We start from the raw sequence: 26,112 nt of genomic DNA on the forward strand, positions 1-26,112 counted from the left end.
CCACGTTTCCACCCTTAGTCTCTGAGGGGCCTAGTGTGTGTATGGTGGGAAGCGGGGTCAGCCCCCGCCTGGACCGCTGTGACAGAACCCCACAGACAGGGTGACTTACACACGACAGAAACGTCTTTTCTCAAGTTCTGGAGGCGTGGGGACCCCATCTCCAAATACAGCCACATTGGGGGTTAGGGCTCCCCACGTGAATTTAGGGGACACTTCAGTTCGTCCCGGCGGGGACTGGGGACGCCGGGCTGTGTGCTGTGTCCTGTGGGAGAGTTTGTTCACCCTGCTGGAGGCTCCCTGATGAGCCCTGGCGTCTGCTAGGACGTCATTCTCTTTACTGATTGAACTCGAAGGATGTCCAGTTGGCGCATTTTCAGGGTTTCCCAGGCGCACTGGGGGTGGGTCCTGTGTGTCCCCGCTCCAGCCAGCTTCGACCCCCAGCTGTGCGTCAGTCCCTCAGCTCCGCCCCCCAGCTGCGCGGCCGTCCCTCGGCTCCGCCCCACAGCTGTGTGACCGCCCTGCGGCTCCGCCCGCAGCTGCACGTTCGTCCCTCGGCTCCGCCCCCAGTTGCTCGTCGGTTCCCTCGGCTCCGCCCCCTCGGCTGTGCGTCTGGCCCTCAGCTCCACCCCCAGCTGCGCGTCCGTTCCTCAGCTCAGTCCCCAAGCTGTGCGTCCTTCCCTCAGCTCTACCCCCAGCTGTGCGCCCGCCCCTTGGTTCCACCCCCCTCCCCAGCTGTGCGCCCGCCCCTTGGTTCCACCCCCCCCAGCTGTGCATCCGTCCCTTGGCTCCGCCCCGCACTGTGCGTCCATTTTTGACTCCGCCCCCGGCTGTGCGCTCATCCCTCGGCTCCGCCCCCGGCTGTGCGTCCGTCCCTCGGTTCCGCCCCCGGCTGCGCGTCTGTCCCTCGACTCGGCCCCTCAGCTGTGCGCCACTTTCTCTGTGGCCCACAGTACCTCCGTCTCCGCCGCTTCACACCCTTCTCTTTCTTTCTCTCTTCAGAGAGGGTTGTTGGGCAGGCAGAGCATCCCCCGAGGGGACAAGTCAGGCCTACGGACTCCTGGAGCCAGGACCTGCCGTAGGCTGGTTAGGGCAGGATGCGCCCTGTCTTCGTGGGTAGAGCCACATGAGGGGTCACCCGACCCCCTCAGGGCTGAGGGGCACAGGGGCCGAAAGTGTGGCCGCCCCTGGGGGTCTGCGCCTCTTGTGGAGCCCAGGCCTGGCGCCCAGGTGGGTGGAGTGTGGAGGGGGCACAGGCTGCACGACCCCAGCCTGGCCTCGGGCTTGCTGGGAGTCGCGTCTGTGGCCGGAGGGGCCTTTGGTGTCACCAGGCCTCTGTCAAACCCCAAGCCGCATCCTGGGAGGGCTGGGTGGGCTGAGCCGCCCGCTGCCGTGAGGCCTCTTTGACCTGCGCTCCTGGAGGACCCCTGACTTCTTGGTTTCGCTCTGAATCTTCCATTTAAAGGAAGAGGAGCAGGTTTTACCATCCGTGTGGCCTGATTTCAGCAGTTTCCAGTCAGGGCTAGTCATTTGCTTGTTTTAAAAACATTCCGTTACAATTTCCACTTCAGTATATTTGTGGCACTTTCATTTGGTTCATGAAAGTCGCTTTTATGATGGAATTTTATAAAAGCACAAAGCTTCCCATTGTACGTTCCGTTTCTGAAGATTCTGTTTACACACACATCCGTTTCAAAGAGTTTTGGAGGAGCAAAGTGGGACACGGTGTTGAGGAAGGACAAGACCAGCCGTCTGGTTACAGGCTTGGTGCCGCCTTTCTCATAAGAGGCACAGTCCGCATGGGCTGGACTGTCAAATGCATGTTATAAAGATGATGTTTTTGGTAACTTGCGAATGGAAACGGGTGCACGGTCGGTTTGGCTCTCCTGCCCTGAGATTTATTAGGTTAAAGGAAACTCGACTGGAGAGCCCGGGGCCTCGCGCCGCTTGCGTCTGGCGAGTTGTTGAAGTGAAGTCAGTGGCGCTCTGCACCTTAGCCTGGCCCAGGCTCCACTGTGGCGTCCACTCTTCCTCCTCTGACAGTCATGTGTAAATATTGAGGCCCGTTTGAACTATCCCTGTGCGGAAAAAAAGGCCTGTTTTTCACAGGGCTGCCTGGGGAGGAGGGGGGTGGAAAGGAAAACAGGCAGGGGACAGACGGACCCGGCCTGCGTTGGCCTGGGGTGACTTCACGGCTCCACTGTCAGCAAGCGGCCGTCCCGTGGTGGATCCTGTCCGCCCTGCGAGGACACCTGGCTCCATCCACACCTGGGCCTCTGTCTCCAGCCGCCGAGGCCGTGACACCATGAGGATCATGTGAGGAGGGGCAGAGAGAGGCCTCCGGGAGGCCGTCATTCCAGCCCTGCCTTCCCTGCCTGGGAGGACGCTGCGGCCGCCACCACCTGGACGGGAGTGGCCTGTCGCAGCTGCACCCTGCGTGGGCTCGTGGCTGCCACGCTGTTTCTTTACACCTTTCTCATATCCTTTCCAGAATCTATCTACCGCCGGGGAGCCAGAAGATGGAGGAAGCTGTACCGTGCCAACGGCCACCTCTTCCAAGCCAAGCGCTTTAACAGGGTGAGTGGCCCCCTTGGGACTAGTCCCTCAAGGGGCCTTTTGTTACTTTTAAAAGCAAAGAGAGAGGAGGGGAGGCACGTCCCGCTGAGCCCAGGCTGGGCTCTTTTTGGCGCCCGAGGGCAAGGTTACAGAAATGCTTTCTCTGGTGCAGGATGAGGCTTTGACTAGGGCTGTCTGAGGCGGGAAGTGCCCTCCGGGCCTTTCCCTGCGTGGTGGCTGCCCAGTGAATGCTGTCTGTGTCTGCCTGGCTGTGTGACTCTTATCAGGGCTCAGGGCTCACTGGCCTGAGGCCCCAGCCTGCCTGCATCCAGAGTGGGGCGGCCGCATTCCATCCGCATGTAGCGCCAGGGTGTGTGTTTTCAGCCGCACACAGTGTTGCCTAGTAGCTAAGAGTCTCCGTGAACCCTGGAAGCTCCTTCAGCCCCATCCCTGCTTGGGCCTCTGTCTTCCCAGCGGCCACCCACGGGGGCCCTTTCCAGAGGACACTTAGCTTATTTTCCTTGTTTCTCTTTATGATGCTTTTCTAGTTCCTATGAAATGGGTGATTCAGATGCTTTTGTAATTGTTCTGTTTCACAGTGGAAGGGGAGGTGTCTGGGTGTGCCTTGGTGGCCCTGGAGTTGGTCCCACACAGGGAGTGTCTTGGGGGTGCGTGGAAGTATACAGGGCCTGTCCCCACTGCGGGACTCCACACAGAGCCCCTGACAGCCCCTCACAGGAGCGGTGGCCCTGGGGCTACCTTTGCATTCCACACTCACCTGCCACGTGGCCTCACGTGTCAACCTCCGCTGGGTGTACGGCACCTCTGTCTCCTGGAGCGGCCTCAAGTCACCTGCCCCTCCTTCTACTCCCATGGTCTGCCCTCTAGACCATCAGGAAGTTCTGTTCATGTGAGCCACTCCTCCTGCCCCTGCGTGTGCTCGGTCCCTGTCATGTGGCAAGAGTGGGTCTGGACTCCCATTCCTCTTGGGGCTAACACAGGTGAGGATGCAGGACAAGCTCCTGAGTGACTGAAGAGGGGTGTGGTGGGAACTAGGCTCCAGGAGATGAGCAGGTCAGCACTAGGAAGACCTGGACATTGCCTGGAGAGCCCAGAGGACTTCCTGGAGGAGGAGGCATCTGATCATACTGCCTGGGAGGTCAGTGCAGAGGAGATGCCAGGAGCACCGAGGATGTGGCAGGCACGGGAGAGTCCAGCCAGTGTCTGGGAGGCCCTGAGGACGAGGTTGGGGACACCAGGAAATGGGGAGCCTAGGCGGCTGTGTGCTTAGGGCAGGTGGGTGTGGGTGAACAGGCAGTTTGGCTCAGGCTGGGACTCAGGAGAGTGTGGCTGGAGGTGGCCACATTGGGAATATCTGTGGAGTATGGTGCCAGGGAGTGTTGCAGCACAGAGATCCCGTCCGCACCCCAGCCCACCCTGGCCGCCTTTTCTGAGGACACACGTTGTGAGTCTTCTGGGGCTGCAGAACACAGCACCACTAACTGGCAGCTTAAACAATGGAAACTTGCTCTCCGGCAGTCTGGGGCTGGAAGTCCAAAACGAAGGTGTCTTTATGAGTCAGGGTTCTCCAGAGGGATGGTACCAATGGGATGCATGTACATGAAAGGGAGTTGATTAGGGAGAACTGGCCCTCGGGCGCACAAGACGAAGTCTTACGATAGGCCAGCTGCAGGCTGGGGAAGAAAGAAGCCAGCAGTGGCTCACTCCGAGTCCAAAAGCCTCAGAAGCAGGGAAGCCGACAGTGCAGCCTTCAGCCTCTGCCAGAGGCTCCAGAGCCCCCGGCAAACCACTAATAAGTCCCGGAGTCTAAAGGCCCAAGAACCTGGAATCTGATGTCCCAGGGTAGGACGAGTGGCAGGAAGCATCCAGCATGGGAGAAAGATGAAAGCCAGAAGACCCAGGAAAACTGCTTCTCCCACCTGCTTCCGCCTGCTTTGCCCCAGCCGCACTGGCAGCTGATTGGACGCCACCGCCCACCCACATTGAGGGTGGGTCTTGCCCTCCCAGTCCACTGACTCAAATACCAGTCTCAGGGCAGCGCCCTCATAGACACACCCAGATGCAATACTTCACCAGTTCTCTAGGCATCCTTCAACCCAGTCAAGTCGGCGCCTGGTGTGACCCATTACAGTGCCGCAGGGCTGCGCCCTCCTTCCCCCGCAGCCACTGGTAGCTGCGGGCAGCCTTGTTCCTGTGCTGGCAGAGGAACCACTCACCTCTGTTTCCGTCTCCACATGGCCTCCTCTGTATCTGTCTCTTCTGTCATTCTGCATGACGGATTAGCCCAGAGTGAACCCTACCCACCCAGTGACATGGGCCAGGGCTCCGGGCAGCACAGGGTGTGGCCTCTCACTGTGCAGCTTTGAGGAGAAAAGTCCATTCTGCCGATGGCAGGTGCAGACCATAAGTGACCCTCCCCCTCCCCACCACCACCAGTGAGCAAAAGCTTTTCCTTTCCTTCCTGCAGACACTGGAGGAAAGGGTGGCAGGTGGACCCACCACAGCCCCGCTCTGCTGTGGAGGTACAGCCCTTCTGGGCGTGTGAACGAGCCAGTTTCACAAACACAGAGGCCAAGGCGAGAGTGGCCCGAAAGCCTGCAACCTGACTGCTCAGGGAGGGCGGCTGCCCTGCAGTTCAGCCTGTCCGATTCCCGCCTAATTGTGCCCGGGCTCTGATCTCGCCACCTGCTCGTAACGTTCTCTGTCCGGACCTCAGAGCCGCTCCATGTAGTGCTCACTTCATGTTAATTGCAGGACCACTCAGATCACCTCTGCTGTCACTTAAAAGGGGCATTTCAGGAGGAAAGCACTTGGTTTTGTGTGAATCAGTAAGACTTAAAGGGGAACAAGCACCCAGGAGAAGAGAGACTTTTCCGTCCTCTTTGTTGGTGAAGCGAGGATGAAAGAGTGGGCATCCGTCGCTGGGGACTGGGCTCCCCGCCCAGCTCTTTCTGTGCACTTGAAAGCACTGCCCTTGGACTTTGAGAAGGAAGCGTTCAGTGGGGGAGCCAAAGGGAGAGAGCCAGCGAGGTTCTGAAGAAGGAGGTGAGGAGGGGCTGCCTCCTCCATGAAGGATGGTGCCGGGGGTGGCAGGGAAGCCCACTCAGTGGAACAGAACTGCTGGGTCAGAGCTGGCCCAGGGCTGAGCACTTCTTGCAGAGGAGGGAAGGGATCCTCCAGTAAATCCTGAGGAGGTGATTGGTTAATTATCAGCCCAGGAATGGGGGGTGAGGTGGGTAGGAATCCAGGCTGCTGGCTCCCATCACAGTAAACGGCAGGTGGATTGAGGTTAAAAAAAAATCACAGGGCCCGGCGCAGTGGCTCACGCCTGTAATCCCAGCACTTTGGGAGGCCGAGATGGGTGATCGCTTGAGGCCAGGAGTTCAAGATCCATCTGGCCAACATGGTGAAACCCATCTGTACTAAAAATACAAAAATTAGCCAGGCGTGGTGGCACGTGCCTGTAATCCCAGCTACTCAGGAGTCTGAGGCAGGAGAATCACTTGAACCCAGGAGGCGGGGGTTGCGGTGAGCTGAGATTGTGCCACTGGGCGACAGAGTGAGACTCCGTCTCAAATAAATAAAAAGAAGAAACCTAGAAGCTGTGCAGATCTCTGGAGAAAAACCGGGCAGTGAGGACCAGAGGGTCTTTAGACTCAGCCACACAGAATTTTCAGATTTTTTCAGTTTCCAAATTAAATGCAAAAAACATACAGGAAAGGGGTTTGTAGCACGTAAAACCCAGAAGAGATCCAGACATCTCACACTTAGAATTGAAGAGCTCCTACACAAAGGCTTTTGGTAAATGCTGGGACCGAGAAGCTGAGAACCGGTGTGAATGGTTAATGAAGTAAGACTGTAATTGTTTAGAGATGAGGACAGCATGACCTCCACAGGTGATCAGGGAAACACAAGACATTTTCTCTGTCAACATCAAAGATGTTAAAAGTAATTAAAGCCGGCCGGGCGTGGTGGCTCACGCCTGTAATTCCAGCACTTTGGGAGGCCGAGGTGGGTGGATCACGAGGTCAGCAGTTCAAGACCAGCCTGGCCAAGTTGGTGAAACCCCGTGTCTACTAAAAATACAAAAAAAGTAGCCAGGCGTGGTGGTGGGTTCCTCTAATCCCAGCTACTCGGGAGGCTGAGGCAGAGAATTGCTTGAACCCGGGAGGCAGAGGTTGTAGTGAGCCGAGATGGCACCACTGCACTCCAGCCTGGGCGACAGAGCAGGACTCTGTCTCAAAACAACACAAAACAAAAACAAAACAACAAAAAAGTAATTAAAGCCCAGGGTTGCTGTCATGGGGTCTGCCAACCCTGGGGATGTGGGACAGGCATGGACCCTACTCTCTGGAAATCACGCAGAAATGTGCAGCGATGTTCCCATCCTGCCTCTCTTCAAAAGAAATCACCCGTCATTCGGAGGTTTGTGTATGGGGAAGATCAGCTCAGCATTATTTTTACAAGCAAGAGTGGGAATCGTGTCTGGAGTTAGCTACTCCCTTTGCTGTGAACAACCCACTCCACCACGTGGGGTATAAACCATGGTAGGGCCACGTCTCTGAGCTGTGGCTGCTGGAGAGCCCTCTGCTGGTGGCACATAGGGCACAAGTGCCGCAGGGACAGCTGGGTGGATGGCCCAAGACTTTGGCCTTTATCATGAGTGGACAGAGGAGTGACCACTTGGGTCCCTGGAGAAGAGGCTATAGAGAGTGAGGGTGGGGAAGGGAGATCAGAAGATGCCATCCATGAGCAGCAGTGCCTGTCAGATTTGGTCCAAGCAGTGCCCTCAGGTGGCTGGCAGAGGCCAATGCAATTCCTTTTCAAGCCAGCATCAAAGAATTCCTGATGATAAATAAATCAGGCATCTGAGCTCGCAATGGAAAACCACAAAACACAGTGGGAAGCAGGATATCCTGAGTCCAAGCTGGTAAAAGCCCAGACAGAGGCTCCAACCATCAGAATAGGTAAGGGTGTGACAGGTCTAAAACATGAAAATGGGCGATTGAAAATATGAGCAGGAGGCCGGGCGCGGTGGCTCACGCATGTAATCCCAGCACTTTGGGAGGCCGAGGCAGGCGGAGTGCCTGAGGTCAGGAGTTCGAGACCAGCCTGGTCAACATAGTGAAACACTGTCTCTACTAAAAATACAACAAAAATTTAGCCAGGCGTGGTGGTGGGTGCCTGTAATCCCAGGTACTCGGTAGGCTGAGGCAGGGGAATGGCTTGAACCAGGGAGCTGGAGGTTTCAGTGAGCTGAGAACATGCCACTGTACTCCAGCTTGGGTGACAGAGTGAGACTCCGTCTCAAAAAAAAAGAAAGAAAATGTGAGCAGGGAGGCCAGGTGCAGTAGCTCACACCTGTAATCCCAGCACTTTGGGAGGCTGGAGCGGGCAGATCACCTGAGGTCAGGGGTTCGAGACGAGCCTGGCCAACATGGCGAAACTTTGTCTCTACTAAAAATAAAAAATCAGCCGGACGTGGTGGCAGGTGCCTATAATCCCAGCTACTCAGGAGGCTGAGACAGGAGAATCGCTTGAACCCAGGAGGCGGAGGCTGCAGTGAGCCAAGATCGTACCACTGCACTCCAGCCTGGGGAACAGAGCGAGGCGCGAGGCTGTCGGAGGGAGGGAATATGAGCAAGGAACAAGTTGGCAGCATGTAAGACGTACTTAAAACGTTTTTACCCATTAATCTATGAATTCCTCTGAGTTTCTGAGAATGGAAACTTGGGGTTTAGGTTTTATTTTTTTAATGTCACATTTCCTGAAATGTTACTATTCAAATATAGATTTGAAACAAGAGCTTTTGACAGAGCTTGGGCAGCCTCACTTACAAAGCACACACGTGAGGTCTCTGTGGTGGGTGCCAACCCTTGGCAGATTCACACTGCCCTTGTCAGCAGATGTCCTGGCCTGACCCCAGGTAAGGGTGGCTCCCCACGGAAAGGAACCTTGGTCAATTTGTTTTTTGTTTGTTTGTTTGTTTTTCTTTTTCTTTTTTTTTTTTTTTTTTGAGACACAGTCTCACTCTGTTGCCCAGGCTGGAGTGCAGTGGCGTGATCTTGACTCACTGCAACCTCTGCCTCCTGGGTTCAAGTGATTCTCCTGCTTCAGCCTCCCGAGTAGCTGGGATTACAGATGTGCGCCACCACGCCCAGCTAATTTTTGTACTTTTAGTGGAGATGGGGTTTCTCCATGTTGGTCAGGCTGATCTCGAACTCCTGACCGCAAGTGATCCGCCCGCCTTGGCCTCCCAAAGTGCTGGGATTACAGGCATGAGCCACTGCGCCTGGCCAATCTTGGTTAATTTGTAAAGATACCTGGTGGCTGTGAATTTGGTCTTAACTAGGACCGTAGTGTTGCAGAGTAAGATGTTAAATGGTGACCTAGAGAAAGCCAAACACATTAGGCACATTATACCAAAAGAACTTGACTTTTAAATAATGGTTTTAGAAATGGAAGCTGGTGTTCTTCTGCGCTGTGGACGCGGAGGAGAATGGAGCAGGTCTGCACAGCCAAAGTGCCTCCTTTCACTCCAGGGTCCAGGCATCCAGCAGCCGAAGCGCCTCCTTTCACTCCAGGGTCCACACATCCAGCAGCCGAAGCGCCTCCTTTCACTCCAGGGTCCACACATCCAGCAGCCGAAGCGCCTCTTTTCACTCCAGGGTCCACACATCCAGCAGCCGAAGCGCCTCCTTTCAATCCAGGGTCCACACATCCAGCAGCCGAAGCGCCTCCTTTCACTCCAGGGTCCACACATCCAACAGCCGAAGCGCCTCCTTTCTCTCCAGGGTCCACACATCCAGCAGCCGAAGCGCCTCCTTTCACTCCAGGGTCCACACATCCAGCAGCCGAAGCGCCTCCTTTCACTCCAGGGTCCACACATCCAGCAGCCGAAGCGCCTCCTTTCAATCCAGGGTCCACACATCCAGCAGCCGAAGCGCCTCCTTTCACTCTAGGGTCCAGGCATCCAGCAGCCGAAGCGCCTCCTTTCAATCCAGGGTCCACACATCCAGCAGCCGAAGCGCCCTCCTTTCAATCCAGGGTCCAGGCATCTAGCAGCCGAAGCGCCTCCTTTCAATCCAGGGTCCACACATCCAGCAGCCGAAGCGCCTCCTTTCAATCCAGGGTCCACACATCCAGCAGGTGCCGACTGGGGCAAAACTCCCAATGCCGGCATTAAGCTAGATTGGCCCGGAATCAGAGGTCTTGGGTGGGATGCCCCCTCTCACCCATCCCTCCTTCGAATAGAGCCCACGGTCCTGGTGTGGCTCTGTCATGGCTGGGCTGATGTAGGTAGCATGTGCAGAGGATGTGGAGTCGGCTCCTTTTTCCTGTGACGAAGTTGAAAGCGATGATGCATGTGTGTTTTCTTACCCGATGCCCACTGTGTGCTGGGCACTGTCCTAGGTGCTGGTCATCCGGCCCCACCCAAACAAGTGGGCTGTGTGGGCGGGGGGAGGGTCCCCGGGCCCTGACGTCCCGAGCAGGCTCTTCTGATGAGCAGGAGAGTCCCGTAGAGGGTCTGGACCCCCTTTGCTCAGCCGCACCTGATGCCCACATGTGCTGAGGGTCCCGGTTCCTCACGTGAACTCAGTGCTGTATTTTCTCTTCAGTCCCGTTTCCTCACGTGAATTCAGTGCAGGCGGTTCACAGTACACTGTATTTCCTCTTCTTTTTTTTTTTTTTTTTTTTTGAGATGGAGTCTCACTCTGTCGCCCAGGCTGGAGTGCAGTGACGCAATCTCGGCTCACTGCAAGCTCCGCCTCCGGGGTTCACGCCATTCTCCTGCCTCAGCCTCCCGAGTACCTGGGACTACAGGTGCCCGCCACCACACCTGGCTAATTTTTTGTATTTTGTAGTAGAGACGGGGTTTCACCGTGTTAGCCAGGATGGTCTCAATCTCCTGACCTCCTGATCCACCCGCCTCGGCCTCCCCAAGTGCTGGGATTACAGGCGTGAGCCACCACGCCCGGCCTATATTTCCTCGTCTTAACTCAGGTGTGAGGTGAGCTCTGTAATAGGAAGGAAATTTGTGAAAAATGGTAAAAGAGGGAAAAGCATATGAAAGGGCTGTGTCTGGAAAGAATCTGAATTGGAGGCTCTGGGCACATGGTGACAGTGCAGATGCACCCCTTTACTCCCAGGAACACTTTGGGCACTTAGGCAAGGCAGAAAATGTCCAAGCAGGTCCCGACAACATTCATTCTCATGCCTTTTGTAACATTTAAACGTTCATGAAAACATCGCCAAACAAGCTGATAATTACCATCATTTTGGAATTGTTCAGAACCATGAAGAATAAAGAAGGATCATTTAAAATCTTGAAAAATACTGAACAAAGAATACTAAGATAATTGCAGGCTGCCATGTAGCAGTTCAAGATGTTCATGAGTCCGAGTTCCCCTTCTCTGAGGCTGTCAGGAGGAGGTTCTGTTTGAATGAAGGTCAGGCAGGGGGTACCCCCACACACTCTGCTTAGCCCTAGACGGGACCCCAGGCTGCTCTACGCAGAGCGCAGCAGGAGCTGCAGCCCCCCAGCCCCTGCAAGCCACGGGGCCTTGCCTGAAGCAGCACCTCGTCACCCCTGCCCGATGGCACCTCCCCTGTGTCCCCTCATGCAGAGCAGGGTTCCAGGCCTCTCCTTGGGGCCACTGGTTCCCCCAACCTTGGGATAGACCCAAGAGGAGGCTCTCAAGCTTGGGCAAGCCTGGCGCCCGGAAGGGACAAGGTGCCGGGGCCACCTGTTGCCCGGCTCAGTGTCCTCTTTTGAGAAGGTATAGGTGTGGAAGGCCCTGCCTGTCCTCTCCGCTGGCCCCTCAGTGTGGCCTGGGCCTGACGCTCTGTTCCCACCTGCAGAGAGCGTACTGCGGTCAGTGCAGCGAGAGGATATGGGGCCTCGCGAGGCAAGGCTACAGGTGCATCAACTGCAAACTGCTGGTCCATAAGCGCTGCCACGGCCTCGTCCCGCTGACCTGCAGGAAGCATATGGTGAGTGGCAGGGCTGGGGAGGCCCGGGGGGCACGGGCGGGGTCGGGGCGTGGCAGCCAGCCCATTGTCCAAGCAGACCTTGGTGACCCTGGGTTCTTCAAGAGGGGCCGTGGTGCCGTCCTAGCTCTGGGCTGCAGCGTGAGACTCAGGCGGCAGTCTTGGATAGGACCCATCTTCCTGAGCCCCCACAAGCCCCCGGCACACTCTGCTCATTGGGGCATGAGGCTCAGGCAGCAGGCTCAGGTAGGACGTGGTACGCTCTGCTCAGTGGGTCGGAGGTAAGGTTCATTCATACCCCAGTCTTGAACCAGCTCTTAAGGACTGTGGAGGTGAAAGCCAGGTCTGACCTAGTAGCATTGGGCACGCTGAGGCTCCGAACATCTGGAGCCTCTCCCTGGCATCCCCCCTGGGAAGCCATGCCCAGCCTGTGATGAGGGCGGCACCTTCCCTCCGCCATCCCCGAGTGCTTGGACTTGAAGCATCCAGGCCTTTGGGGGCCTTATTGACTTTTGCTTATTGAAGGCTGCCTCTGGCATTTCCGTGTGGCCCCCTGCATCCCACTGAACCACGGGGGTGAGGCCTGGACTGAACATTCAACTCCCTGGGCCCTGCTGCAGCGTGCAGTGGGTGTGTCTGGGGAGGGTGGCTTGTCTGCATCTTGCTGTGGCATGGGAGGAAAGGCGCCTGTGGCAGTGACGTGCCCTCTCCTCTGTTACGGGATAAAGACAGAGTCTGGATCAGGGTGTCACCCCAGGATCACCAGCCACAGGGATGGGGGACCACGCAGGCTGGTGCATGCGTTGGCACAGTCCTTCCAGAGGTCCTTCAGCTGCATCTGCCAAAAAGCCTGTAATGCCCTTTGACCTCATAGGTCCACTTTAGCGTAAGCAAATGAGACCGGCCCCAGAAATGTGGTCAGCTAGAGGCGGAGGGAGGCCAGAGCCTGCCACCCAGCTGACCACCAGTACTGGTGGCTCCATTATGACATATCTGCAGGCGGAACCCAGAGGCCCTTAGAATGGCCCCCTGATGCTTGGTTACTGACAGGATGCAGCTTTGGGACAGGGGAGATGACCAAGCATTGTGCAAAATATCCCGTTGTATAAAGCACTTGGTGGAAAGGTCATGGCCTGCAGTACCGAGTGGCCACCTCCGTCTGCAGAATCATAGGTAATGTTTATGTTCTTTATCTAATTCAGTAAAATAGCATAACAATTAGATTTTTATATACTATATTACAGTATACCCATTGTAATGTGTAAATATGTAAATCATAAATAGTCTTGAAGTGGCCAGGTGCAGAGGCTCACACCTGTAATCCCAACACTTTGGGAGGCCAAGGTGGGAAGATCACTTGAGGCCAGGAGTTCAAGACCAGCCTGAGCAATATGGTGAGACCCCATCTCTACAAAAAAAATACAAAAATTAGCCAGGCATGGTGGTGCGCACCTGTAGTGCCCGCTGCTCTGGAAGCTGAGGCGGGAGGATTGCTCGAGCTCAGGAGGTTGAAGCTGCAGTGAGCCGTGATCGCGCCACTGCTCTCCAGCCTGGATGATGACAGACTGTGACCCTGTCTGTAAAAAAAAGTTCTTAATTTTAAAAAGTCACAAAGTGTTTACAGAAGCTACATTGTAACACCTGCTCTAGCACTTGGTCATGCTGCCATCTCTGTGTCTCTCCGGCAGGATTCTGTCATGCCTTCCCAAGAGCCTCCAGTAGACGACAAGAACGAGGACGCCGACCTTCCTTCCGAGGAGACAGATGGAAGTAGGCGCTGCTTTCTTCCGGCCGGGTAGAGCCTGGGCATCACCTCACCCTGCTCACCTCTGCCTTCTAGCCACGAGTCCTTTCTCAGTCCCATCTGCTCTGCAGGGGTCATTGTCTTCAAGCCTGGCCACCCTTCCCTGGGGCTGGGGATGAGGCTCTCCAGGGCCTCCTCTCAATCCCCGGCAGAGATGAGCAGGGTGAGCTGGCCCTCCCTGGAGGCTGCTGGGCAGGGATGCCTCCGTGAAGTGCTGTTGTGGTTGCCCAGGGGTGCAGAGCCTCTTCCTCTAACCAGCTCCGGGAGTTCTCGAAGGCACTTAGTGCAGCAGCCACCATGGCCGGGCACCTCCCACAATCTGGCTGCTGCACAGAGCTGAGCCCTATCTGGGGAAAGCCTGGCGAGGTGGCTGCTGCACACACAGCGTGGCAGTGGCATGGTCCTTGGATTTTTGTGAGGTTTTGTTTGTTGTGGGGAAGGACTTGTTTTATTGCTAAGAAGCATTCAGAGAGAGATCTCAAACACCAGTTGGACTTACAGCCCAGGTTTGAGCCTCCACACCTGCACCTCTGCACGGGGGTGTGAGAGCCTCACTTTCACTTGATGCATGTGAGTTCTGTCTCATTGGGAGACCACAGAACATAAAGCACTTATGAGACCACAGAACATAAAGCACTTAGTTCACACAGTGCCTCACGCAAAAGAGATGCCTCACAAACAACTGCCTGCCCACCTGCTCCTCCACCCACCTATCCTCTATACAGATATTCATCCGTACATCATCCATTCACCCACCTAGCCAACCAACCAGCCCTCATCCAGCCAACCAGCCATCCTCCACCCGCCCATTCTCCATCCATCCACCACCTATCCATCTATCCACGATCCATCCATCTCGTCATCCAGCCAGCCAGCCAGCCATCCTCCACCCACCCATCCTCCAGCTATCTTCCATTCGTTCATCTGTTGTCCACTGACCTCTCCATCTATCCATGTATCTATTGTCCACTGACCTCTCCATCTATCCATCTATTGTCCACTGACCTCTCCGTCTATCCGTCTATTGTCCACTGACCTCTCCATCCAACCGTCTATTGTCCACTGACCTCTCCATCTATCCATCCATCTTTTGTCCACTGACGTCTCCATCTATCCATCTGTCTGTTGTCCACTGACCTCTCCACCCATCTATCTGTTGTCCACTGACCTCTCCATCTTTCCATCTGTTGTCCACTGACCTCTCCATCTATCCATCTATTGTCCACTGACCTCTCTATCTATCCATCTATTGTTCACTGACCTCTCCTTCCATCTATCTGTTGTCCACTGACCTCTCCATCTATCCATCTATCTTGTCCACTGACGTCTCCATCTATCCACACATCTGTTGTCCACTGACGTCTCCATCTGTTCATCTATCTGTTGTCCACTGACCTCTCCACCCATCTGTCTGTTGTCCACTGACCTCTCCATCTTTCCGTCTATTGTCCACTGACCTTTCCATCTATCCAGCTATTGTCCACTGACCTCTCCATCTATCCATCCATCTATTGTCCACTGACGTCTCCATCTGTCCATCTATCTGTTGTCCACTGACCTGTCCACCCATCTGTCTGTTGTCCACTGACCTCTCCATCTATCCATCCACTGTCCACTGACCTCTCCATCTATCCATCCATTGTCCACTGACCTCTCCATCTATCCATCCATCTATTGTCCACTGACGTCTCCATCTGTCCATCTATCTGTTGTCCACTGACCTGTCCACCCATCTGTCTGTAGTCCACTGACCTCTCCATCTTTCCGTCTGTTGTCCACTGACCTCTCCGTCTATCCATCTATCTATTGTCCACTGACCTCTCCATCTATCCATCTATTGTCCACTGACCTCTCCATCTATCCATCCATCTATTGTCCACTGACCTCTCCATCTATCCATCCACTGTCCACTGACCTCTCCATCTATCCATCCATCTATTGTCTACTGACCTCTCCATCTATCCATCCATCTATTGTCCACTGACGTCTCCATCTATCCATCTGTCTGTTGTCCACTGACCTGTCCACCCATCTGTCTGTTGTCCACTGACCTCTCCATCTTTCCGTCTGTTGTCCACTGACCTCTCCGTCTATCCATCTATCTGTTGTCCACTGACCTCTCCATCTATCCATCTATTGTCCACTGACCTCTCCATCTATCCATCCATCTATTGTCCACTGACCTCTCCATCTGTCCATCCACTGTCCACTGACCTCTCCATCTATCCACCTATTGTCCACTGACCTCTCCGTCTATCCATCCATCTATTGTCCACTAACCTCTCCATCTATCCATCCATCTATTGTCCACTGACCTCTCCATCTATCCATCCATTGTGCACTGACCTCTCCATCTATCCGTCTTCTATCCAGGCCTCCATTCATCCCCCATCTAGTCATCCTCCATCCATCCACCAGACATCCACTCCTGCCCCTACCCACCCATTCACTAGACACCAAAATCCGGTGACGAATTATTTGCAGATGGACCCCTGGGGACGTATGTCACGAATGTACATCCCCAGGTCCCATGGTCAGAGTCGGCAGGTGTGAGTGGGGCCCAGGAAACTGCATTTTCAGAAGACTCTAAATTAGAATCAGACATGGCTGCTGTGTGGATTCACCCTTCACCGTCACCCTGCAGAGGAGCAAGGTCCACAGGGTCGCTGTGTTCCCAGTGCGTTCCTGACCACACCGTAACGCCCCTTCCTTCCTCCCTCTCTCACCAGTTGCTTACATTTCCTCATCCCGGAAGCATGACAGCATTAAAGACGACTCGGAGGTGAGTGTGTGGAGCAGCTCGCTGCCATTTCCGACGTCCTCTGGAAAGTCTGTGAGCCTGTCTCTGGGGTAGTCACGGAAATCTAGATGTGAAATAGACATGGTCCGGGGTGTTGCTAACTAATCTTCACGGGTGTGGATGTCTAGAAGGAAGTCCTTATTCTTGGGTCTTACTTCAGGCATGTCCTTGATGAATACCTGCAGGCAGCTGTCCCCGCAGGTGGTCTGGGGACCACACCCTGCGGGGGAAGCCGTGCCCCACATCCTCTCCATTCAGGTGGTACAGTGGCCCAGGGGCTGGCTTTTGAGCTGCAATTTTTATCAAGTTGTGTCTGCACCATGCCTTCCGAATTGTGTTGCCTCATTTGGCCATCCTGGCAAACCCTCTGAAGCCCTTTCATGTCCTTCCCCAACTTGAGCCAAGAGGCTCAACTGAGCCTCACGTCTGTGGCCAGCTCTGCACCATAAACCCTGAGAAGGGAACAGAAGAGCTTGCTGCGTTCTCAGCCTCTGCTCGTAAAACCCAGGGAAGGACTGCACTAGCGAAGCCCACTCCTTTCCAGAGCACCAACAAGTGTCACCCTCACAACTCGTGCTCCTTCCTGGCCATCCTGTGTCTGGAGGGAGGCCGGGGCACTTAGAAAGCAGAATCTGAGGCTGAGCACGGCGACTCACACCTCCAATCCCAGCATTTTGGGAGGCTGCGCACATCGCTTGAGTCCAGGAGCTCGAGAACAGCCTGGGCAGCATAGCGAGACCCTGTTCCTACAAAAATAAATACAAAATAATTAGCTGGGCATGGTGGCACGGGCCTGTGGTCCTAGCTGCTTGGGAGGCTGAGGTGGGAGGATCGCCTGAGCCTGGGAGGTGGAGGCTGCAGTGAGCTGAGATCGCACCACTGCACTCCAGCCTGGGCGACAGAGGAAGAGTCTGTCTCAAAAAAAGCAGAATCCGGCTGGGCGCGGTGGCTCACGCCTGTAATCCCAGCACTTTGGGAAGCTGAGGCGGGCAGATCACGAGGTCAGGAGATGGAGACCATCCTGGCTAACACGGTGAAACCCCGTCTCTACTAAAAATACAAAAAAAAAAAAAGCTGGGCGTGGTGGCGGGCGCCTGTAGTCCCAGCTACTGGGGAGGCTGAGGCAGGAGAATGGCGTGAACCCGGGAGGTGGAGCTTGTAGTGAGTCGAGATCGTGCCACTGCACTCCAGCCTGGGCGACAGAGCCAGACTCCGTCTCAAAAAAAAAAAAAAAAAAAAAGCAGAATCCATTTTGCCGCACAGAACAGCACCTCCCAAGGAACCGCCTCCTCCACCCCGACCTCCTTGCCAGGTGTAGCTTGCGGGAGGCAGAGGCTTCTGTTCTTCCTCGGAGCGCCTTTCTCCTGGGTATTTCTAATAATTATTTCTAATAATGTGTGCCTGCCGGTTTGGGAGCTCTTGGCAGGCATTAGCTGCATTCGCTTTACCTTCCTTCCCCTGAGGGAGGGCACTGATCAGGAAGGATGGGCCCAGGCCCTGGGCCACATGTCCCTGTGGCCACCTCTTCAGCCCCACTGATAGGGCTGAGGGCCTGGGGGTCCCTCCCACCTGCAGCTGTGACCAGAGCCATGGTCTGTGGAACGAACAGCTTCTAGCTTTCTAGCACCTTCCTCAGAAGCACACAGCCTTAAATTCTTACCTTTCATGCCCCAGTTTAGATGGGAGTTTGGGGGTGGGATATGTGGGACGCAGAACTGAGACTCGAATCATGAGGCCCTGGGCTCTGAGGAGCAGGTCTCTGTTGGGACCGCATGAGTGATGCGTGGTCCTCTGAGTCTCCCGGGAACCCCCCTCTCACTTTCTGGGGTCTTGTTCTCCCTCCCTAGGACCTTAAGCCAGTTATCGATGGGATGGATGGAATCAAAATCTCTCAGGGGCTTGGGCTGCAGGACTTTGACCTAATCAGAGTCATCGGGCGCGGGAGCTACGCCAAGGTTCTCCTGGTGCGGTTGAAGAAGAATGACCAAATTTACGCCATGAAAGTGGTGAAGAAAGAGCTGGTGCATGATGACGAGGTAGGTGCCGCTTCTCATGGGGCCCGGGGGCCCGGGAACGCGCTGCCCTGGGGCCTCCTCCGGGCTTTAGCGGAATTAATCCATGCACGAGAGACCTAGCCTCACGTTGACGGAGTTTGTGCAAAATCAATAGTCATGCATCGTGTAATGACCAGGATGTGTTCTGGAAAGTGCCTGGTTAGGTAATGGCACTGTTGTGTGAACATCACAGTGTGCACTCCACAAACCCAAACAGCACAGCCAACTCCACAGCCAAGATGCACAGTGCAGCTCCTGCTCCCAGGCTGCAAGCCCGTACGGCTGTTAGTGCACTGCACACTGCAGGCAGTGAGGGGACCACCACGAGAGCACTCACGTGTCTAAGCTTAGAAAAGGTGAAGATGGGTATCGTGGTCTCTGCAACCTTCTCATGTATGGCCAACCACTGATACGTTGCCTTCCAGCAGACTGCGGTTGAGTTTTAGGATGTCATCACCCTTGTTAGGAAATCTCTGGGGTTGAGCTGAACTGGACGGGTGATGGGGTGGGACAGGAAGCTGCCCAGAGGCACTGCCCTGCTCCGTCCTGCACAAGGCCCCAGCTTTGCAGTACATGCTGAGCTGCCGTGGCTCTGTGTAGCAGATCTTCCCACACCAGCTGTTTCTAGGGGAGAAGTTTGTTGATTATAGGATCAATGGTTTATTTGTTGAAATCTTTTTTTTTGGAAACGGTCTTACTCTGTCACCCAGACTGGAGTGGCTTGATCACAGCCCACTATAGCCTCAAAGTCCCCAGCTCAGGTGATCCTCCCACTTCAGCCTCTGGAGTGTTGGGACTACAGGCATGAGCCACCACCCCCAGCTGTATAATTTTTGTATTTTTTGTAGAGGCAGTGTCTCATTCTGTTACCCAGGCTGGAGGGCAGAGCATGATCACGGTTCACCTCCTGCAGCCTCCACCTCCTCCTGCAGCCTCCACCTCCTGCTAGGCTGAGGTGATCCTCTTGCCTCAGCCTCCAGAGGAACCAGGACTACAGGCATGCACCACCATGCCCAGCTATTTTTTGTGTTTTTTGTAGAGACGGGGTTCCACTATATTGCCCAGGCTGGTCTAGAATTCCTGCGCTCATGCACTCTGCCCGCCTCAGCCTGCTAGAGTGCTGGGATTACAGGCATGAGTCACTATGCCTGGCCTGTTTGTTGAAATCTTAATTCTGACTTCATAGACCTTTTTCTTTTAATTAAAGTAAAATACACATGACATAGAATTTGCCATTTTAAAGTGTACAGTTAGGGCCGGGCGCGGTGGCTCACACCTATAATCCCAGCACTTTGGGAGGCTGAGACAGGTGGATTACCTGAGGTCAGGAGTTCAAGACCAGCCTGAACAATATGGTGAAACCCCAACTCTACTAAAAATACAAAAATTAGCCAGGTGTGGTGGCGCACACCTCTAATCCCAGCTACTCAGAGGCTGAGACAGGAGAATCGCTTGAACCAGGGAGGCGGAGATTGCAGTGAGCCGAGATCACGCTACTGCACTCCAGTCTGGGCGACCAAATGAGACTCTGTCTTTAAAAAATAATAAAATATGCAAACAAAGTGTACAGTTAGGCGGCTTTTAGCATATTGAGATACAGAGTTGAGCAGCTATCACCTCTCTGATTCCAGAACATTTTCCTCACCCCAAAAGGAGACCCCATACCCACTCCCTGCTTCTGCTCTGCGTCAGCCCCATGGCCTCCAATCTGCCTTCTTCCTCTGCGGACTTCCGTCTTCTGCACGCTTGACAGAACGGAGTTGTGTGTGAGCTTTTGGTGTCTGGCTTCTCCAGTGTCCGTCCATGTGGCCGCTCGCTCAGGCCTTCCTCTCTCTGCCTGGCCGGGTAATGTTCCGTTGTCCAGTGGAGGCCCCACGTTTGTGCGTGCACCTGCCAAGGGGCATTATAGTGTTCCCACCCTTGGCTGTTGTGAGTGGTGCCACTGTGAAGGTTCGCGTACAAGAATCTGTTTGAGTCTATTTCCAGTTCTTTTGAGTGCAAACCTAGCAGTACAGTTGCTGGGTCACATGGTAGTTCTCTGTTCAACTGATGGGGACCTGCCAGGCTGCTTCCCACGCAGCCGCGCCGTTTCACCTCCCCGCCAACACCACACGGGCCTGTTTCTGCAGGTCCTCAGTGACGCGTGTGATTGTGATGATCGCTATCCTGGCAGGTGTGCAGTGGTGGCTTTGACTCCCATGTCTCTGATGACTGACAGTGTTCAGCATCTTTCATGCACCTGTTGGCTTCTGGTATTTTTGGTCTTTTGCTTTCATTCCTGAATGCAGGTTGCGTCTCTCAGGATTAGATAAAAGGCCAACGTGTGGGTGGCAGTAATGCTGTTGTCACCAAGTGCTGCTAGCACAGAAGGCAACTGGCTGCTCGTCGAGCCCCGATGGGCCACAGAGGGGGTCCCTCCTCGCCAGCCATGCTCGGGGCTGGGAGGGCAGAGCTGGGGCTGGGGCTGAGCCTCTACTACCTCCCAGCAGGGCGTGTCTGTGCAGTGCACAGGCTGTCCAACTGGCCCCTCATCCCTGGGTGCAGAACTCAAAAGTGGGTGGCAGCGTCCATGCCCTGCGCCGAGGAACAGAGGCCCCAAGAGGTGTGGTGCCCTGCTGACAGCCCCGCTGCTGGCCAGCGGCAGCACAGGAGGATTCCAGCCCCCTTTGCAGCACGTCCCGGTCAGCTGGAAAGTTAATGCCACGTATGAGAGCAGGTTTGCGGGACCCTGAGAAAAGACATTTGGAAGAGTCGCTGCTGCGGTTTTGTTCTGTCTTGAAATCATCCTCTGTGGGCCGGGATGCCGAGGTGGGGACTCTGGGGTTGTCTTTCGAGAAGAGCCTGATTGCAGGAGTTGTTGAATGCTTGGATGGTTTCTAGAAATTTCTTTCTCCCCACAAAAAGACTGCACTCTCTGGGGCCAGGCTTGCCTCTTGTTCCCCCAGGAGTCACTGGCAAGCCCCTTCCCACCGATTCTGCAGCGCCAGCCCCACGCAGGGCCTTGAACTCAGCAGTGCTGTGTCCAGGAGGTTCCACTCAGTTTGGGTGCTGAGTGATATGTGGGTCATGATGCCAACGCCGACGTCCCTGCGGGGCCACAGTGGGTGGGTGCTGCTGGTGAGGGCCACTGGGGGACGGGTGGTGGCAGGTGAGGGGTGGAGGAGTCACCGCCGACCCACTAGGTCTTCAGCCACTGGAGATGGGAGGAGATGCGGGCTGGCGAGGAGCTCGGCTTGTGGCCTGGGGTGGCGTGAGATACCCGGGTGCACATGTTGAGCAGCCGTCGGGGGGCAGGTCTGCAGCTCAGGGAGAGGCCGGGCTGGGAGCTCTCGGCGTGGAAAGATGAGACTCGAAGCCACTCCATTGGATCTGCCTCCGAAGAGAAGGGAGGGTGGCCGAGGACCAAGCCTCGAGGAGGAGGAGGGCGCTGAGGAGGAATGACACAGTCTCAGAGGCTAAATAGATACTCACTAATGGTTTGTTGATTTGTTTCCACGAAACTTCCGGGAGTGGGGGCAGGCAACACAGTAAGACCCTGCCTCTACAAAAAATAAAATTGCCAAGTGTGGCATGTATCTGTAGTCCCAGCTCCTCTGGAGGCTGAGGTGGGAGGATCGCTGGAGCTCCAGAGGTCGAGGCTGCAGTGAGCAGTAATCGCACCCCTGTGATCCAGCCTATTTTGACGCATTTCTTTCACTGTCATTTTTCTAACCCCGAAGACAAGGGGTTGACCTAGGAAGGCTTGAGAACTTCGTCCAGCTCTACTTTCTGGGGTCAAGATGAGACCAAGCTGTTGGATCTTTGTCACTCTAAAGTTGACTTTGACCTTGCAGCATTTTGCTGAACTGCAGCATGAATTGGGAGGGTGACAGTCCTATGGCTGAAGCTAGTGCTCTGGTGATGGGTGTGGGCTTATCACTCGGTAGCGCTGGGACCTTGGGGAATCTGCTTAGCCCTCCACCTCAATTTCCTTGTGTCCTAACTGGAGATAATAATACCTGCCTCCTGGAACTGTTAGGGCAAAGCCTGGAGGCCAGAGGCCAGTATACCACCAGAGGCCAGCATACAACCAGAGCTGGTAGCTTTGGTGATCGTGGTGAAGATGATGGTGATGATGATGGTGACAATGATGGTGACGATGATGGTGATGATGGTGATGATGGTGAGGTAGTGGTGATGACGTGGTGGTGGTGATGAAGATGTTGATGATGGCGGTGATGATGGTGATGGCGATGACTGTGATGGTGGTGGTAGTGATGACATTGAGGATGACGGTGGTGGTGATGATGATGGTAGTGGTGATGACAATGGTGGTGATGACAGTGATGATGGTAGTGGTGATGACAATGGTGGTGATGACGGTGATGATGGTGATGACAGTGGTGATGATGGAGATGGTGATGACGGTGATGATGGCAGTGGTGATGACAGTGACGGTTGTGATGGTGATGATGGTGGTGGTGATGGTGATGATGACGGTGGTGATGAAGGTGATGGTAACAGCGACAGTGATGGTGGTGGGGGTAGATGGTGCCAATGGTGATGGTGGTGGTGGTGATGGTGATGACAGTGATGATGCAGATGGTGATGACGGTGGTGGTGATGATGACAGTGACGGTGATGATGACAGTGGTGGTGAAGGTGATGGTGACAGCAACAATGATGGTGGTGGGTGGAGGTGGGAGGGATGGTGACAATGATGACGGTAATGGTGACAGTGACGATGATAGTGGGGGGTGGGGGTAGGGTGTATGGTGACAGTGGTGTGACGGTGGTGATGATGACAGTGACAATGATGATGATGGTGGTGGTGGTGGTAGAGGTGGGGTGGATGGTGACAATGGTGGTAATGCAGTTCCTAATGGGTGTTTTCTTTTCCTGTCTGCATTGTCTTCCTGAAAGCGGAGGAAAGAGACTCCTCCCTTGCCTCCCCCTTGCCCAGGATGCCTGTGAGGAGCATTCGGGAGCCTCATTACCACTCCCTGGTTTCTATTTCAGGATATTGACTGGGTACAGACAGAGAAGCACGTGTTTGAGCAGGCATCCAGCAACCCCTTCCTGGTCGGATTACACTCCTGCTTCCAGACGACAAGTCGGTAAGAAAAAGAAGGGTATTTCTGATATTCTGCAGATTTCAGATGTGAACTGCACAGAAGCTAAGTCTGGTGTGATGTGTCAACTGTCACCTGTAAGGTTCTCCCAGTTGCTGTACGGGTGTTTTCAGGCCAGCAGACTCTCTTTGTTGTTCTCCTTGGTTGGTGTCATATTAAGTACATTTCATGATCTGAAGTTATTTAATTCCATTTACGAAATACTTACTGGAGGTATCCCACTGAGTGCAGGCATTGGGTCAGGTGCTGGGGCTACAAAAGTAAGCAAAAGAGGTGGATTTCTGTGCTTATTAAAATATGTACAGCTTCACCTTCAAGCTTTATATATACTGGAATTCTGTGGCTTTGAATACATTTGAAAGCTGATGATCTAGGATATTAAATGTATGCCCTGTTTAAAATTTTGGGGGCCAGTTGACTTTGACCTACCTGATTTGTTTATTTGAAGAGTTATTAAGTATGTTCTGCATTGAGTCCTCAAGACCATCCCCAGGTTCGATGATTGGCTAGGAGGACTGCTGGGATCAATCATGGCCGCACTGGGGGCCACAGCTGGCATACTGCACTGGGGAGATAAAGGAGACTTGGCCAAGGAAAAAGGCACATGGGGAAAATTCCAGAAGAAACCAGTCACAAGCTCCCAAGAGCCCTCTCCCAGTTCCTCCAGCAATGAATTGTGACAACTCATGGTTTTTGTCAAGGGCTGGTCATGCAGGCTGCACACGAACCAAAATTCCAGACTCCCAGTGGAGAGCAGGTGTTCAGCATTGCGTTAGTCAGGGTTCTCCTGAGAAACAGAACCAGTTGTGTGCACGTGTGTGTGTGTGTGTAAAGAGATTTATTATAAGATACTGGTTCATGGGATTATGGAGGCTGAGAAATCCTATAATCCGCCATCTGCAGGCTGGAGGCCCAGGAGAGCCAGTGGCACAGCTTGAAGGCCTGAGAGCCAGGAGCTGATGGGGTCGCTTCCAGTCCGGGTCTGAAGGCCTCAGAGCTAGGAGCAAGGGGGCCAGAAGGTGGATAGCTCGGTAGTCAGGGAAACGCAGCCTTCCTCCTCCTTCTTGTTCTCTTCACGTCCCCAGGGGCCTGGATGATGCCAGTCTACTTCAGGGAGGGCCGTCTGCTTACTCTTCCAGAAGCCCCCTCAACAGGCATGCCCGGAAGTCATGTACAGCCAGCTACTAGGGCGTCCCGTGCCCAGTCAAGGTGACCGTTGAATTCACCATCACGAGCATAAGGCATCCTGTTCAGGCACACACAGTTTGGGCACAGCAAGCAGCTCTTATTCCAAAGCTTTTTTTTTTTAATGTGCTTTTCTTGTTTTTGAGATGGAGTCTCGCTCTATCACCCAGGCTGGAGTGCAGTGGCAACATCTTGGCTCACTGCAGTCACCACCTCCTGGGTTCAAGCAATTCTCCTGCCTCAGCCTCCTGAGTAGCTGGGATTACAAGCACCTGCCACCACACCTGGCTAATTTTTGTATTTTTAGTACTCTGTGTTGGCCAGGCGGGTCTCGAACTCCTGACCTCAAGCCATCTGCCCTCTGCAGCCTCCCAAAGTGTTGGGATTACAGGCATGAGTGACTGAGCCCCGCCTCCAGAGTTTTTTTTTTTTTTTTTTTAAATAAAGATAGGGTCTTGCTCTGTCGCCCCAGGCTGGTCTCAAACTCCTGGGCTCCTGCCTCAGCCTCCCAAAGTGCTGGGATTACAGGTGTCCACCACTCTGCCTGGCGGTCATGCAGAAGCATGTTATATCCGTGTAGGGAACTGTTTGCAGTTCACGTTCCCAGCCCCAGCTCCGGGCCAGCTTTGCGGGCCAGGCTTCCTAAGCACAGCGGTCCTAGGCCCTGGGTGCAACCCTCTGCTGCTCGGTTCTTAGCTGTACATCTGGCGACTTGCTCTCCTCCGCTGCACTCTTGGCTCTCCTGACCGCAGGGTCCTGCTCTTGCCTGTGCTTGGCAGCCACCTCTGTCTGTCGGAAGAGCCGGCGTGACCCGGCCGTTCCCCGACCTGCTCTACGTGCGGTGCCGTCCTGGTCAAGGGTTCCTGTTTTCTGGCTGCTTACGCCTCCTAAGTGTGTTTCAGGGTCCCCCACCCTCCCCACCTGACCCCAGGGCTCCCCAGTGTTGGCTTCCCCATGTTGGGCCTGAGCCATATTTGAGAAACACAGATCTGAAGTCTTTTTCCTGCCTCAAAGCTCCTCTGATTCCTCCTCCCCAGTTGCTTCTGGGGTAAATTCCAAGCTTCCTGTGCGTGTGGACGAGGCTTGTGGTGACCAGGCCCCAGTGCCCCATCGTGTGCTTCAGCGTGGCGCCCTCGCCCGCACCGCCTGCGCCTGACGGCTCTGTCCCCTTTCCTTCTGCTCCCCTGCTTCCCGGAGTGAGTCAATGCCTCCCTTTGTGCATTCCCATTGCGCTTTTCCAGGCCTCTTTCCGCCCTGACTGCCATCCCTTGCGATTTGGGAATACGCCCAGGGGAAGGCAGCCCGGCCCCCCACACTTCCTAAATGGTGAGGTTCCAAGAAGGGTTTTGTTTTGCTTTGGTTCTTCTTCATATGTGAACTTGTAGGGATGTAGATGTATAAGGGGTCCGATATCCCACCCTCACTTCCCCTGAGTGGCCCAAAGCTCAGCCCCTTCTGCACTTGTGTCTTTGGACTCTTCTGTCAAGTCACAAGTTCCCAGATGCGTAAACCTGAACTTAAAGAATTGTCGTCTGTGGGGTGTCTGTGGGATCCCCGCAGCGGCACCAATCACTGTCCTGTGGGAGCATTCGG

General features: G+C 54.7%; 1 protein-coding gene across 35 annotated transcripts in view, besides 5 other annotated features; it reads left to right on the top strand.

Moving 5' to 3' along the window:
- PRKCZ (protein kinase C zeta) overlaps positions 1 to 26,112 on the top strand; it is a 136,892-nt gene that overhangs the window by 84,270 nt on the left and 26,510 nt on the right. For 27 of the 35 annotated variants that reach the window (XR_007061965.1, XR_007061966.1, NR_146911.2 and 24 more), the window contains 6 exons: positions 2,489 to 2,574; positions 11,437 to 11,568; positions 13,254 to 13,335; positions 16,099 to 16,151; positions 18,017 to 18,205; positions 23,222 to 23,319. Coding sequence is in view for 32 of the 35 variants with exons in the window: in XM_047425255.1 (XP_047281211.1) it covers positions 2,489 to 2,574; positions 11,437 to 11,568; positions 13,254 to 13,335; positions 16,099 to 16,151; positions 18,017 to 18,205; positions 23,222 to 23,319 (640 nt within the window). In the remaining 3 variants the exon portion in view is untranslated. Of the gene's footprint in view, positions 1 to 923; positions 1,228 to 2,152; positions 2,314 to 2,488; positions 2,575 to 11,436; positions 11,569 to 12,613; positions 12,739 to 13,253; positions 13,533 to 16,098; positions 16,152 to 18,016; positions 18,206 to 23,221; positions 23,320 to 24,419; positions 24,557 to 26,112 lie in introns of those variants that run through there. The other 8 variants (NM_001350806.2, NM_001350805.2, XM_017001803.3 and 5 more) reach the window with 7 other exon arrangements.
- Positions 215 to 844: a silencer, noted in NCBI's record as "silent region_104". NCBI's record gives its function as "represses an Ori minimal core promoter by ATAC-STARR-seq in GM12878 lymphoblastoid cells {active_cell/tissue: GM12878}" and the evidence as "EXISTENCE:reporter gene assay evidence [ECO:0000049][PMID:35858748]".
- Positions 215 to 1,290: a biological region, named in NCBI's record as "H3K27ac-H3K4me1 hESC enhancer GRCh37_chr1:2064553-2065502".
- Positions 341 to 1,290: an enhancer, noted in NCBI's record as "H3K27ac-H3K4me1 hESC enhancer chr1:2064553-2065502 (GRCh37/hg19 assembly coordinates)". NCBI's record gives its function as "activates a minimal SCP1, AML or CMV promoter by ChIP-STARR-seq in primed H9 embryonic stem cells {active_cell/tissue: H9 hESC(primed)}" and the evidence as "EXISTENCE:reporter gene assay evidence [ECO:0000049][PMID:30033119]".
- Positions 4,141 to 5,089: an enhancer, noted in NCBI's record as "H3K4me1 hESC enhancer chr1:2068353-2069301 (GRCh37/hg19 assembly coordinates)". NCBI's record gives its function as "activates a minimal SCP1, AML or CMV promoter by ChIP-STARR-seq in naive H9 embryonic stem cells {active_cell/tissue: H9 hESC(naive)}" and the evidence as "EXISTENCE:reporter gene assay evidence [ECO:0000049][PMID:30033119]".
- Positions 7,185 to 7,768: an enhancer, noted in NCBI's record as "H3K27ac-H3K4me1 hESC enhancer chr1:2071397-2071980 (GRCh37/hg19 assembly coordinates)". NCBI's record gives its function as "activates a minimal SCP1, AML or CMV promoter by ChIP-STARR-seq in naive H9 embryonic stem cells {active_cell/tissue: H9 hESC(naive)}" and the evidence as "EXISTENCE:reporter gene assay evidence [ECO:0000049][PMID:30033119]".

This window comes from Homo sapiens, chromosome 1 (genome assembly GCF_000001405.40).
Source record: "Homo sapiens chromosome 1, GRCh38.p14 Primary Assembly".
NCBI classification, from domain to species: domain Eukaryota; kingdom Metazoa; phylum Chordata; class Mammalia; order Primates; family Hominidae; genus Homo; species Homo sapiens.